Here is a 14,380-nt window from a genome sequence, read left to right as displayed (position 1 = left end):
AACAAAAAGAATAAAACTAAGGGAATCACATTACCTGACTTCAAATTATACTACAGAGTTATAGTAACCAAAACAACATGTAATGTATATATTATTTACTGTACAAAATAACACAGAAGGTAGATTGTTAAGAATTCATATGAGATAAGGTTAATGATGAATAATGAAGATTGTCAAGAATTCATATGAGATAAGCTTAATGATGAATAAATGAGCAAAATAAAAATAATGATGATTGGGATAATGTCACTTTAGAATGAACATTGATGATGTGAGGTATATTGTTTCTTCCAGACATACAAAAATGTTTCTTCTATGTCATTAAGATGAAAACAATTTTTACTTATGTTATCATTAACAAGTGCCTTTATTTTTCGAGTTGGCATTGGATTATTCATCAATACCATTTTTTTTTTCTTTCAAATCTTTACATTTCTTCTGGATCCCAGGCCAAAGTTCCATGACTTGATCATCTGCCACTTGGTCCTCAGTCATATTCTAATGCTCCTTACTGCAGTGGATTTTTTTCCTCAAGTTGTGTTTGAATCACTGAATTTGGGAATGGCTTTAAATGTAAGCTATTATTTTACACAAAAAGGGTGATAAGAGGCATCTCCCTCTGTCCCCCCTGGCTCTTGAGTGTGCTCCAGGCCATCACCGTCAGTCCCAGAAACTCATGGTTGGCAAGGTTTAAACATAAATTTACAAATTACATTACCAATGTTTTTCTTCTTTTTTGGTTCTTCAATTTGTCTTTTAGTAGCAGCCTAATCTTCTTCACTGTGTATTTTTCAAATGTGACTCAGACTGATCTATTGAATGTCAGTAAACACTGCTCACTTTTCCCCATGAACCTCATCATCAGGGAGTGAAATTATCCAGGGATGCCTTCCTTGTCAGAGTTATGCTGCTCTCAAGTGCATTCATGTGGATCCTCTTTTTCAGAAATCAGAAGCAATCCCAGCTCCACAGCACCAGCATCTCTCCAAGAATCTCCTCAGAGAAAAGGGCCACCCAGACCATCCTGCTGTTATGAGTTGCTTTGTGGTCATGTATCCTATGAACCTTCTTATTTCAACATCCTCAATCCTGTTATGGGTGTATGACCCAGTTGTCCTGAATTTCCGGAGGCTTGTGCTCAATGCATATGCCACTGTTATTCCACTGGGACAAATTAGTTCTGATTAAAAAAAAAAGTATTCTGCAGAATTGTAATTGATGTGCCACCAATTTTAACAAGCTATTGATGAAAAACGTTTTCTGAAAAATAGTCATCTGCTATTATTTAAACTGCTCAAGTAGCTCATTTTTTATCTGATTTAACCAATGTGTATAAGATCACCTTTTAAAATTATATATGAATACTTTTGAAGCTGATATTACTAAGGACTTTATAGCTTGCTAAGTTCAATATCTACCATAAATTGATATTCTCATATCAAATCTTTTTCTCTTTAATTTTCATTTTAACTTCATATTAGTAAATGTTTCTTTTTTCTTAAAAGGTACTCTTAAGCTCCTGTTGGTAATCAAATCTCTCAAAATTTTAGCTTTTGAAAATATTTTAATTTACCCCTACTTTAATAAGTAGGGATATTATGGTATTATGTAGGGGTATTAGGTATTATGACTATTCAATTATATCTTTAATATCATGCTTCCTCATTAGAATTTTCCTGATTCTGTAAAAATTATGTCAGTTTGGATTTTATATTGAAAATCTAGAATTTATTTAAATGGGTCTAAATAAAATTTGCATGTGGCTAGACATTAGTTTGGTTACACTTAATTTTTCCATTTTAATTGGGATATGATTGACAAATAAAAATTGTATAAGTTGTATCACCTTACATATATGTTCTAATAAAGTTATATATTGTGAAATTATTAATATAATCAAGCGAATTAACATGTCCCTCACACCTCACCTAGTTGCCTTTTCCTAGTGTGGTGAGACTATTTGAGTTTTATTTTCTTATCAAAGTTCAAGTGTACAATACATTATTAATAACTATAGTTATGGAACAAAAGGCAGCAGAAACCTCTGCAGACTTAAATGTCCCTGTCTGACAGCTTTGAAGAGAGTGCTGGTTCCCCCAGCACAGAGTTTGAGATCTGAGAACGGACAGACTGCCTCCTCAAGAACGGACAGGGTGCCTCCCGAGTAGCCTAACTGGGAGGCACCCCCCAGTAGGGGCAGACTGAAACCTCACATGGCCGGGTACCCCTCTGAGATGAAGCTTCCAGAGGAACAATCAGGCAGCAACATTTGCTGTTCAGCAATATTCGCTGTTCTGAAGCCTCTGCTGCTGATACCCAGGCAAACAGGGTCTGGAGTGGACCTCCAGCAAACTTCAACAGACCTGCAGCTGAGGGTCCTGATTGTTAGAAGGAAAACTAACAAACAGAAAGGACATCCACACCAAAATCCCATCTGTACATTACCATCATCAAAGACCAAAGGTAGATAAAACCACAAAGATGGGGAAAAAACAGAGCAGAAAAGCTGAAAATTCTAAAAATCAGAGTGCCTCTCCCCCTCCAAAGGAACACAGCTCCTTGCCAGCAACAGAACAAAGCTGGAAGGAGAATGACTTTGACAAGTTGAGAGAAGAAGTTTTCAGACCATCAAACTTCTCTGAGCTAAAGAAGGAAGTTCGAACCCATTGCAAAGAAGCTGAAAACCTTGAAAAAAGATTAGACGAATGGCTAACTAGAATAACCGGTTAACAGAAGTCCTTAAATAACCTGATGGAGCTGAAACCCATGGCACGAGAACTATGTGACGAATGCACAAGCTTCAGTAGCCAATTCGATCAACTGGAAGAAAGGGTATCAGTGATTGAAGATAAAATGAATGAAATGAAGCAAGAAGAGAAGTTTAGAGAAAAAAACAGTAAAAAGAAATCAACAAAGCCTCCAAGAAATATGTATTTGTTTTTCTTGAAATTTATATTCCTGTCCCGTCTAAATATTGATTAAAAGAGAGGTAGGCACAAACTTTTATTTTGGTTACATTTTGCAAAGTTCTCTAATTTACTTTAGATGATGGGTCCCATCTACTTCATGAACATATGTGAGTATTAAGTACAACAAGTACAATAATCTCCTCCCTACAACAGAGGACCCTGAGACACTAGGGAAACATGGATTGCCAAAATCTTTGTCTTTCCACATTATTCTTCCCTTTACTTTTTATTGCAATGAAAATATAAAAAGATAGTATGCTACAAATTAGAAATTGATTAGTGGATAATATGCATACGTTATTACAGTAAGTTCAAGAATAAGTAGAATATATGAATAGAACCAAAACAATTAGAGATTAAACTTTTTCTATGAAGAAAAGCTCAGTAGATAGTTTCACTTGTAAATTTGACCAAATATTTAATAATGAGTTAAAACCAGGTCTTTTAGTTGACTGCCCCACAAAAAAACAAAACAAAACAAAACTGAATAACAGAAGAAACTTACCAATTCATTCCATGAGGCCAGTATTGCCCAGACAAAAGTCAGGAAAAATCACTACGAGACTATAGACTATTATCCCTTATCCATATTGACACAGAAATCCACAAAAATAATAACAAAATAAATGTAGCCACAAATGAAAATTATTGGACACCATTACCAAGAGGGGTATCTCACAATACAAATTTAACATTCAAAAATCAGTCAATATAATACAGCTTAATAAAACAATAAAATATCAAAATGATCATTCTGAAAAACACAGAACATTTGACAAATCTAGACCCGTTTATGAAAAAACCCTAACTAGACTAGAAACACAAGCAAAATTTTTACACCTGCTATAAGACATCTATTAAAAACCTACAGCTAATATCATGCATAATGTTGAAATCTTGGGTTTGAGAACGTTAGTTTGGAAACAAGACAAGAATATATTTTTACCACTTCTATTTTAACAGTATACTGGAGATTTTGGCCAGAAATATCATGGAACAAAAATAAATTCATGACCTTCAGATAAAGATCGGAAGCCTATTCAGATGACATCCTGTATATAAAACTTTCTAGAAAATTCGGCCAGGCGTGGTGGCTCACGCCTATAATCCCAGCACTTTGGGAGGCCGAGGCGGGGGGATCACCTGAAGTCAGGAGTTCGAGACCAGCCTGGCTAACATGGTGAAACCCCGTTTCTGCTAAAAATACAAAAAATTAGCCAGGCGTGGTGGTGCGCGCCTGTAATCCCAGCTATTCGGGAGGCTGAGGCAGGAGAATTGCTTGAACCCAGGAGGCGGAGGTTGCAGTGAGCCAAGATCACGCCATTGCACTCCAGCTTGGGCAACAAGAGTGAAACTCCGTCTCAAAAAAAAAAAAAAAAAAGAAAAGAAAGGAAAAGAAAAAAGAAAATTCACAAATACCCACTATAATAAATGAGTTAAGATTGCATGATTTAAAATAATATAAAAATATTAATAAAAATTCTATACACTAGCAATGAACAATCTCAACATGACATGAAGAAACAATTCCATTTACAATAGTTTCAAAAGGTAAGGCTGATTGTGGTGGCTCACAACTGTAATCCCACCACTTTGGGAGGCTATGGCAGGAGGACTGCTTGAGGCAAGGATTTCGAGACCAGCTTGGGCACACACAGCAAGCCCCCATATGTACAAAAATATTTAAAATCCATGGAATGTGGTGGCATGCACCTGTAGTCTCAGGAGGCTGAGACTGGAGAATTGCTTGCACTTAGGAAGTTGAGGCTGCAGTGAACCATGATTATGCCACTGAACTCTAGCCAAGTTGACAGAGGCAGACACTGCCTCAAAAGAAAGAAAAAAAAGAAAGAAAGAAAGAAAGAAAGAATTATCTGCAGAAGGTTTTAAGGCTCTGCTCCAAAATTATAAGGACCTACACCAGGCTTTATGTATAGCAACCTATCAAAGATACAACAGCATTCCTATCTCCCAGTCACACCTCAAAAACCATTGCATCTGCAGTCATATGGCACAAGTGGCAAAGTAGCTTGCATTGCACTCTGGACTTTTTGCAGGCCTTCTATTATTCTGTGCCCAATTTAAAAGTAGCAGTTTTCCATTACATTCATTGAATGGGCCACGGTATCATACTCAAACTAGGAATGGGTTTCTCATAACCCAAAGAAACCTGCCAGCTCTTGCGCCTTTTTTTGATGTAGGAGAATGTATACGTAACCACTTTTTCTTCATTCTAAAAGGTATATTATAACATGCCCCATATTATTGGACTCCTAGAAATATCACTAGCACAGAAATGAGATCAAACAGAGACCTCTTGTGGGGGCCCATGGGCACACAACCATAAAAGTTAAAAACAAAAACAGAAACAAAGAAAAAACAAACAAACAAAAACTTCAGTTTCTTTACACTGTGAACAAATGTACATTAAAATGTTGTAATAAAACAGTGACTAAAAGTAACTAATGTAATAATAGTCAAACACCGTGATGCCATGTCTGAGACTCATAAATATTTTCAATTCCATGCTAGCAACACTAACTTCAGGGGACACGCCCCTAGCACAGCAGTTGTTAACATACAGTTGCTCTGTGTGCAGTAGCAGTGGCCTGTCTTAGGCCAGCAACATCACATACATACATACATCTTCTTTGTCAATACTCTAAAGCTTTCCAATTCAGATATGAGATACTTGCTTGACTGCTTAAGCACATATGTTGTAACACACAGTGCATAACGAAAAAGCTCTTCAAAATTTATGGTGTGAAGAAAAGTAAATATCCTGAGTTGTTTTTCATTAATTCAGTGTTGAAGGAAGCCTTGTTTCTTCTGTATTACACATGTGAAGTACAATTTTGATAAATTTATTAGTGGTGAAAATATCATTTAAGGAGGAAAAAATGATATAAGTTGAATGATAACACACACATATTTCTGGCTTAGAATTTGAGGAGGTGGAGGTGGAATAATGTCTCTATTTTTGGCAGGAGCCTCTGAGAATAAGTGCAATGGGTTAATAAGGCGGAAGGGCCTCAGGGTGCTAATTTCTTCTCCCTTTGCCCAGAAATGAGCTGTGACATCACTCAGGGCTTTCTCCTTCACATGCTCCCTTTCTTTGCGATCTGCTGACGCTCTCTGTGACAGAGCTGTTTGGAACTTACCTTGTGACCCCATTGTGAGCTGCTAGCTCCCATCTCCCCATCCAGAGAGCAGCTCCTAGTGCCGATCCCCAAGTGCAGGGTGCTCTGAGTTTCTGTCCTCCTTGACAAACCTAGAAATGGGAAAGAGAGATTTCAGGGTGGGACTTGAGCCATAATTGATCCAGGGTCAGTCTGTGGCATAAGAGCTGCACCTCAGCCTAGAGCACATGCCCAACATGCTCGTCACCAAATGTTCAGTCAAGGACCCTCTGGGGCACACTGTCTAGGCTGACGTATAGCCCTTTTGATGCTTTCTTCTTGAATGTATTTACCACAGTCCCTGACTCAGAATAGTGCTCAATAAATAGCATGTTTCCTCTTTTTCCTGCCAGGGAGTTAAAAAAAAACAAACAAACAGCTACATGGGAAATTATAGAAGAGAAAGAGGTTTATGATTGAAGTGAGGGTCAGGAACTTTTGTGGATGAGGCAGACTTTAGCCAAGATTTGAAGGAGAGATTCATTCATTCATTCAACAGATGCTGCAATATACCTGATATGTTTCAGGTATTTTAATGAAATAAGAATAGGGCTGGGCATGGTGGCTCACGCCTGTAATCCCAGAACTTTGGGAGGCCGAGGCGGGGGGATCACCTGAGGTCAGGAGTTCAAGACCAGCCTGGTCAACATGGCAAAACCTCGTCTCTACTAAAAATACAAAAATTAGCTGGGCATAGTGGCGTGCACCTGTAATCCCAGCTTCTCAGGAAGCTGAGACAGGAGAATCGCTTGAACCTGGGAGGTGGAGGTTGCAGTGAGCCGAGATCATGCCACTGCACTCCGGCCTGGGCAACAGAGAAAGACTCTGTCTCAAAAAATAAAAATAAAAAAGAATATAACAGTGACCACCATCACAAGGTGTTCAATCTAGTGAGGCCGAGAAACTTCCCCCAAATCATCACACAAATATAAACTTCATGAGAGCAAACTCAATGTCCAATAGGAAAATGGTAAAATTATGAAATGTTCTTTTGATTTAATGTTATATAGCTACGGAGGTTGTTTCAAATAATTATAAAATGATCATAAGAACTGTTATATTCTAAAAGTATGGTATAAAAGTACAGAGTATAATTCTTATTTTATAAAAAATAAATGCATATTTACCTCTGCATGGAGGTGGTTCTATGTCACACAAACCTGTGGTTATTTATCCCTGGTGATGGGATTAGAAAGCATAGACCACATTCTCTTAAAAGAGTAAGGCTGTGGCCAGGAGGCAAGTAGATTTGTTTTTCCACTGTTTGAATTTGCAATTAGATACTCTGCATGCTTTAAATGTAATGGAAGTTGTGATATATACTCATATTCTCATGGTAGGTTGTTCCATTTTGGTTTTGATGTTGGGGAGGAATAAGGTGAAGGTCCCTGTGGACTCTTCTTGTTCAGTGGCACACGTGTGGTCCTGGGGAAAGCCGTCACACAGTGGGCGCTGAAAAATGTGGCCTATGGCCACGAATTCCCTTTCAGTCCCTGCCTAAGCAAGATTCATCTTCCTCTGCCTCCTTTTTCATTTCTTTTCTTCTATTGTCTGGTATTTTTGAAGATAAAAATTTGTTTCCAAAGGGGAAGTTCCAGAAATTCTTCCAAGAATAATGATGGAAGTTTGATTTCCAAGTGAGTGAGTATTCCTGGGCAACTGATTAAATCCCTTTGTCAATACTAAAAATCTGGCTTGTTCTGGATTAGTTCCACCATCTCACCATGATAACTCCCTCTTCTATAATCCCCACCAGAAATGACTGCTTTGCTTGAAAGCTTTTCCCTGAGAAGTCAGTGGTGTGTTACTCCTTTGTCAGCTTAAAAAAAATAATTATACATTTCTGGGATTTTGTTTTGTGTCCCTGTGTTTTTTTAAGCAACTGGTGTTTTCAAGCCAAAAATTAGAAGTATTATGGAAGTACTGATGATGTACTCAGAGGAAAACAATAAAGCATATGATTTATTTGTTATAAGATGTAAAAGTTCTAGAAGATTTTCCTCTGATTTGTAAATTTTTTCCTCTCAAGAAAGTTTTTCCTTATGTTTTATAATTTCTTTATTTTAAAGACCTGCTGGGTTACTTAAAGTATGATAGTTCTGTTGGTGGAGTGAGGATAATGCTGCATTCAACCTGCCTTTTGTGGCATCTTGCTTACCCTACTTTGCAGAACAGAGATACCAAGAATCGGCCTTATGAAGCTGGGGCTATTTTTGCATTGTGATTTCAGAGATGCTGAAAAGACCTCTGACTGATTTCCTAATACTCAAAATGATACAGTAAGGGACTTGGGAGTTTAGGTCTTAAGACTTTTCTTCATGAGTTTCTGTTAAAATCTAAGATAAAAAGTAGCTGCCTTGAAGAATCTTACCAGGGTTTGCTGCCAGCCAACTGAATGACTTATTGGAGAAAGGACTCATGACTCCTGGGCCTGAGGGACAGGCAGACAGGGAGATGGCTTCAGCAAGGATTTTCCACAGGTGACCCTGGTTCTGCAGTGACAGAAGCTCCTGTTGCACAAGGTTGTAAAATTATTCAGAAAGAGTAGGGATAATGCACCTACATTTTACCTGCTTTCAAACTCGTTGACAATTTACTTCTGGGAATTATTTTTTCTCTTCTCCAGTTAATTTATAGTCTATCTCATTTCTTGTCTTTTCTGCCAACCATTGTATTTTTTCAGGGACAGTTGCGAGACATAAACTATGATTTCCTATCAGAGTGCTTGTTACAATTCCGTTCTACTTTTCTGTGAAAATGTGCAACCTTCCAACTCTCAGTCATCATCTTTCCCCTTTCTCAATTCTTATTTTGCTTCTTGCAAGTGTTTTTCTTTTCTTTTCTCTCTCTCTCTCTTTTTTTTTTTTTTTTTTTTTTTGAGACGGAATTTTGCTCTTGTTGCCCAGGCTGGAGTGCAATGGTGCGATCTCGGCTCACCACAACCTCCACCTCTTGGGTTCAAGCAATTCTCCTGCCTCAGCCTCCCAGGTAGCTGAGACTACAGGCATGCGCCACCGTGCCTGGCTAATTTTGTATTTTTAGTAGACACGATTCTTCTCCATGTTGGTCAGGCTAGTCTCGAACTCCCAACCTCAGGTGATCTTCCTGCCTGGGTCTCCCAAAGTGCTGGGATTACAGGTGTGAGCCACCATGCCTGGCTGCTTCTTGCAAGTTTTTGAACATGTTAGTGAAGAAGCAGTTGAGTCATTTTGTGAAATAAATTTCTATTTACAAACACAGCAAGATGACACATTCATGGACTCCAAACATAGGTAGAGCTGTCCCTCCTTATTTCTGCATTCCTGGATTCAACAAATGTGAATCAAAAATATTTTAATAAGGTTTCTGTACTGAACATTTACAGAATTTTATTTTTCTTTTCACTATTCCCTAAACAACACAGCATAACAACAATTTAGGTATTAAAAGTAATCTAGAGAAGATTTAAAGTATGCAGGAGAATATGCATAGGTTATATGTAAATACTATGCCATTATATATAAAGAACTTATACATCCATGCATTTTGGTATCCAAGAGGACTCCTAGAACAAATCCTCCAGAAATAGCAAAGAAATATGATAAAGAGTTTACAGTGTTCATAAAACTCTAGCTGCTTACTAGAACAACAGTTCGATGAAATAAAAGGCAGACTTGAAACTGTCCTTGGCCTGTATGGCTTGGCTGGCAGCCCCTGGCTTGCATGCCCCTTCTAGCAAGATGCACGTTAAGGCCACTATGTGCAGCTGAGGGAGAGTCAGGTGGCTCTTCACCAGGAGCAGATCGCATCCTTCTTTTGTCACATTTCTGCCTCTTAAGAGTGTCATGCTGAGAGGCATGCCTTCTTGATGCAGAAAAGAATTTGTTGGCAAGCTCTGCCAAACATCTGTTTCCATGTACTTCCTATGTACCCACAGTTGCAGATCATGGGAAATTAGATAGTTTATCAAAAATAGCTTTCACTTTTTAAAACGTTCCTTTTTAGTTTTGGTTGAAAAAGACAGAAGACACAGTCCTAATTTCAGAAATGAAAGAGGATCTATCATTACTGATCCCATGAAGAATTAAAGAATAATAAAGAAACATTATAAACCACTCTTTGCCCACAAATTTGGTAACCCAAATGTAACAGACAAATTCTTTGAAAGAAACAACCTACCCAAACTCACACAATAAGAAACAGACAATTTGAATAGTACTACATCTATTAAAGAAATTGGGTCAATGATAAGTAACCTTACCAAATAGAAAGTACCAGACCCAGATGAGGTAACTAGTATATTTATGCAAACATTTAAGAGAAATTATTCCAACCCTCTACAATCTCCTCCAGAAAACAGAAGCAGAGTGAATACTTTCAAACTATTCAATGGGGCCAGGATTACCATAGTGTCAAATTCAGACAGAGACGTTACAAGAAAAAAATGCAGGACAATATCTCACATGAAGAAAGATGCAAAAATCCTCACCAAAATATTAAGAAATCAAGTCCAAAAATGTAAAAAATAATTATATACTGCAACCCAGTGAGATTTATTACAGGCATGCCAGGCTGGTTCAACATTTGAAAATAAATTAGGCTAAGTGTGGTGGCTTATACCTGTAATCCTAATGCAGTAGGAAGCCAAGGAGGGAGGATCACTTGAGGCCAGGAGTTCAAACTAAGCCTGGGCAACATAGCAAGACTCTGTCTTTAAAAAAAATTAGTTCATCATATTAAGTTTTAAAAAGATAAGATTTCATCAGTACATTCAGAAAAATCATTTGACAATATCCAAAACCCATTCATGAGAAAAACTCTCCGCAGACTAGAAATAGAGGAAAACTTCCTCAATTTCATAAATAATGTCTATTAAAAAAACCTGCACCTGGCCGGGCACAGTGCCTCACGCCTGTAATCCCAGCACTTTGGGAGGCTGAGGTGGGTGCATCATGAGGTCAGGAGATTGAGACCATCCTGGCCAACATGGTGAAACCCCGTCTCTACTAAAATACAAAAAAGTAGCCGGGCATGCTGGTGCGTGCCTGTTGTCCCAGCTACTTGGGAGGCTGAGGCAAGGAATTGCTTGAACCCGGGAGGCGGAGGTTGCAACGAGCTGAGGTCACACCACTGCACTCTAGCCTGGTGACAGAGCGAGACGACATCTCAAGAAAAAAAAAAAAACCTGCATCTAACCTCATACTGAATGTAGAAACACTAGATTCCTTCCTGCTAAGATCAGGAGCAAGGCAAAGATGTCTCCTCTCACCATTCCTATATGATATTATACTATAAGCCCTAGGTAATGCAATAAGACAAGAATAGAAAAGGTACATAGACTGGGAAGGAAGAAATAAAACAGTCTTTTTACACAGATGATATAATTGCCTATGGAGAAATACAAAAAGATCACAAAACAAAATCTTAGAATAACCAATTTTAATGAGCAATTATAGCAACTTTGCACAATATAAGATTAATATACAAATGTCAATTACTGTCCTATATATCAGTAATGTAATTAGAATTTGAAATTTAAAAATTCAGTGACATTTATGCTAGCACCAATAACAATGAAATTCTTTAGGTACAAATATAAGAAAATAAATATAAATATAGAAACCATATGAAGAAAACTACAAAACTGTGAAAACATCAAAGAAGATCTAAATAAATGGAGAGATAATCCACATTCAAGTAAAGAGGGATTCAACGTTGTTAAAACGTCAGTACTTCCCAACTAGATCTACATATTCAGTGCAATCCCAATCAAAATTCCACAAAGCTAGTTTGTGGATATTGACAAACTGATTCTAAAGTTTATATGGAAAGGTAAAAGACTCAGAATAACCAAGAAAATATTTTAAAAGAACAGTTATAGGAATGACACTACCCAACTGTAAGCACTACTATAAAGCTACAGTAATCAAAACACGGTACTGGTAAAAAATAATAGAGAAACAGATCAATCAAACAAAAGATAAAGCTCATAAATTGACCCATGAAATATAGTCAGCTTATCTTTGAGGAAAAAGCAAAGGAAATTCAATTGAGAAACAATACTTTTTCAACAAACAGTACTGGAACAACTGGACATCCACATACAAGAGAAAAGAAGAAAAAAAAAAACCCTAAACCCAGACCTGACAACTTTCACAGAAATTACTAAGAATGGATCATAGACCTATATAGGAGGAAAACTCACAAAACTCCTAGAAGATAACAAAGAGCAGAATCTGAATTACCTCAGGTTTTGCTCCTCTGATAAAACACCAGAAACGCTGGGGGCGGTGGCTCATACCTGTAATCCCAGCACTTTGGGAGGCCGAGGTGGGTGGATCATGAGGTCAGTAGATTGAGACCATCCTGGCCAACATGGTGAAACCCCATCTCTACTAGAAATACAAAAATTAGCTGAGTGTGGCAGCGTGTGCCTGTAGTCCCAGCTACTTGGGAGGCTGAGGCAGGAGAATCACTTGAACCTGGGAGGAGGAGGGCGCAGTGAGCTGAGATCAGCCACTGCACTCCAGCCTGGGTGACACGGCGAGACTCCATTACAGAGAAATGAAAATTATAAAAAGAATGGGATACAGAGATAATGAAATGAAAAATTAAAAAGACCTTTGAGTTTATAAACAGAGTAGAAACAGAAGACAGCAATAGAAATCATCATCATCCAATCTGAAGAGTGAAACAAGTTTGAAGAAAATGAAAAGCTCCTTAGAGACCTGTGGAATGACTGAGTCCGAGAAGGAGAGGGAGAGACAGAAAAATTAAATATGATACAAGAGCAAATAAACAACTCATAGCTGAAAACTTGCAAAATTTGGTCAAAACCTCAAATTTGTATATTCAAAAGATGAGCACACTTCAAAAGAAAATACACATAAAACCATACCAAGGCCCTATTAGAAAACTGGCAGGGCAGGGTTTTCAAGGGACTTGCTATGATTTCTCATTTTCACTATTTATAATAATGGACAATATGCTCTCCTTAGAGTTTTCTTCCTGCAGAAAGTCTGATATGTCAGGTGCAGATGACTCTTTAGTCTATTTTTCAAGGTTTAATTTCTTACCTTGGAAATCAATTAAATTTGTTTTTTCAAAATTTTGCAGTAAAATTGATGCTCCGAAAAGATGCCCAGGGAGATTCTGTCCTGCTGCGTCCGCCCTGCACAGAACTAACGCTATGCCAACGCCAGTTTCAAAAGCGTGTAGTTGTGGAGTACTTAAGAGTTAATCTAAAAAAGCGAATAGAAAAATGGATTCAATAAATGATCACTGTTAAGTTCCATCGGCAAAGTCTTAAAAGTGGTTCCAAAGGGAGTATTTAATAAGAGGTAAAGATTTTTCCAGGGCACCCTATTCAGAGCAAAAACAAAGACACTGTCCAAACCTCACCACACAAACTTCCTCATGTGTTGGGAGGAACCAAGGCGCTCTCTGGTCCTGCACCTGTGTTAGTTATGGCCGGGAGGTCTACACTAGGACCCCAAGGCCTGGGAACCAGCCTGGGTGGGGGACAAAGAAGTGGTGGATGTGGCTCGCAAAGTAGTTTAGGTGGTCCCTTCCCCGTGGCAGTTTCCTGACTGGATGCAGCAGGGTCAGGCCTTTCCCCTGGGACATTTTCTCATCGTTATTATAGTGGCAGGAGCGCCCCTGTGCGAGGCCTGACCCAGGTGTGGGCCATGCAGCCAGCCCGGGGTCCAACAGGTGCATCTGGGGAGTACAGGGGGATTCGTGGCAGCCCAGAGAGAGAGAAAAAGGTGGTTTTCAAAAGGGAAGTGCCAGGTTACCAGAGACTGGGTACCTTCACATGAGGCAGTGAGTGAGCTAATAGTTTCGGACACTCACGAGGGAGCTTCCCGCGCTGGACCAAGGGGAGCACTACGCATGTCTGAAGGGGTGTGGCCAGGGGAGGGACAATAAGAGGACGTGGCTAAAACGAGTGGCCCTTCAGAGGGAAAGGGCGGTGTCGAGCCGGCTGCTGGGGGGGGCGGGGGCGCAAGCGTTACCATAGCAACCCTGCTGCAGAGTCTGTGAGAGGCTCTTGGCCTCTACCTGGTCTGTGGAAAATCAAACTCTGGGCACAAGTCATGAAGCCAGCACGTTGGGGAGACACCGTGTCACAATGACAAGGTGAGATCAGCCGCCCTGGCCAAGCTGTCTCCTCGCGGGCAGGAGAGGTTTGTGAACAGCCAAGCTTCCCTCCGCACGGCGGAACTGCACTGGAAGCCTGGAGGAGCTCGGTGG

General features: G+C 39.0%; 1 long non-coding RNA gene and 1 pseudogene across 2 annotated transcripts in view; one reads left to right on the top strand and one right to left on the bottom strand.

The window, feature by feature from the left end:
* Positions 1-14,380, bottom strand: part of LINC03075 (long intergenic non-protein coding RNA 3075) — a 27,314-nt gene extending 12,934 nt beyond the window's left edge. Inside the window, exons 1-3 of one of the 2 annotated variants that reach the window (XR_002956557.2) lie at positions 14,189-14,380; positions 13,204-13,368; positions 6,131-6,240 (exon numbers count right to left, since the gene is read on the bottom strand). This is a non-coding gene — a long non-coding RNA (long intergenic non-protein coding RNA 3075). Of the gene's footprint in view, positions 1-6,130; positions 6,241-7,275; positions 8,511-13,203; positions 13,369-14,188 lie in introns of those variants that run through there. The other variant, XR_001745219.1, reaches the window with a different exon arrangement.
* On the top strand, positions 346-1,188 carry VN1R31P (vomeronasal 1 receptor 31 pseudogene; annotated as a pseudogene).

This window comes from Homo sapiens, chromosome 7 (genome assembly GCF_000001405.40).
Source record: "Homo sapiens chromosome 7, GRCh38.p14 Primary Assembly".
In the NCBI taxonomy this organism is placed as follows: domain Eukaryota; kingdom Metazoa; phylum Chordata; class Mammalia; order Primates; family Hominidae; genus Homo; species Homo sapiens.
This window is presented reverse-complemented; position numbering and strand designations above follow the sequence as displayed.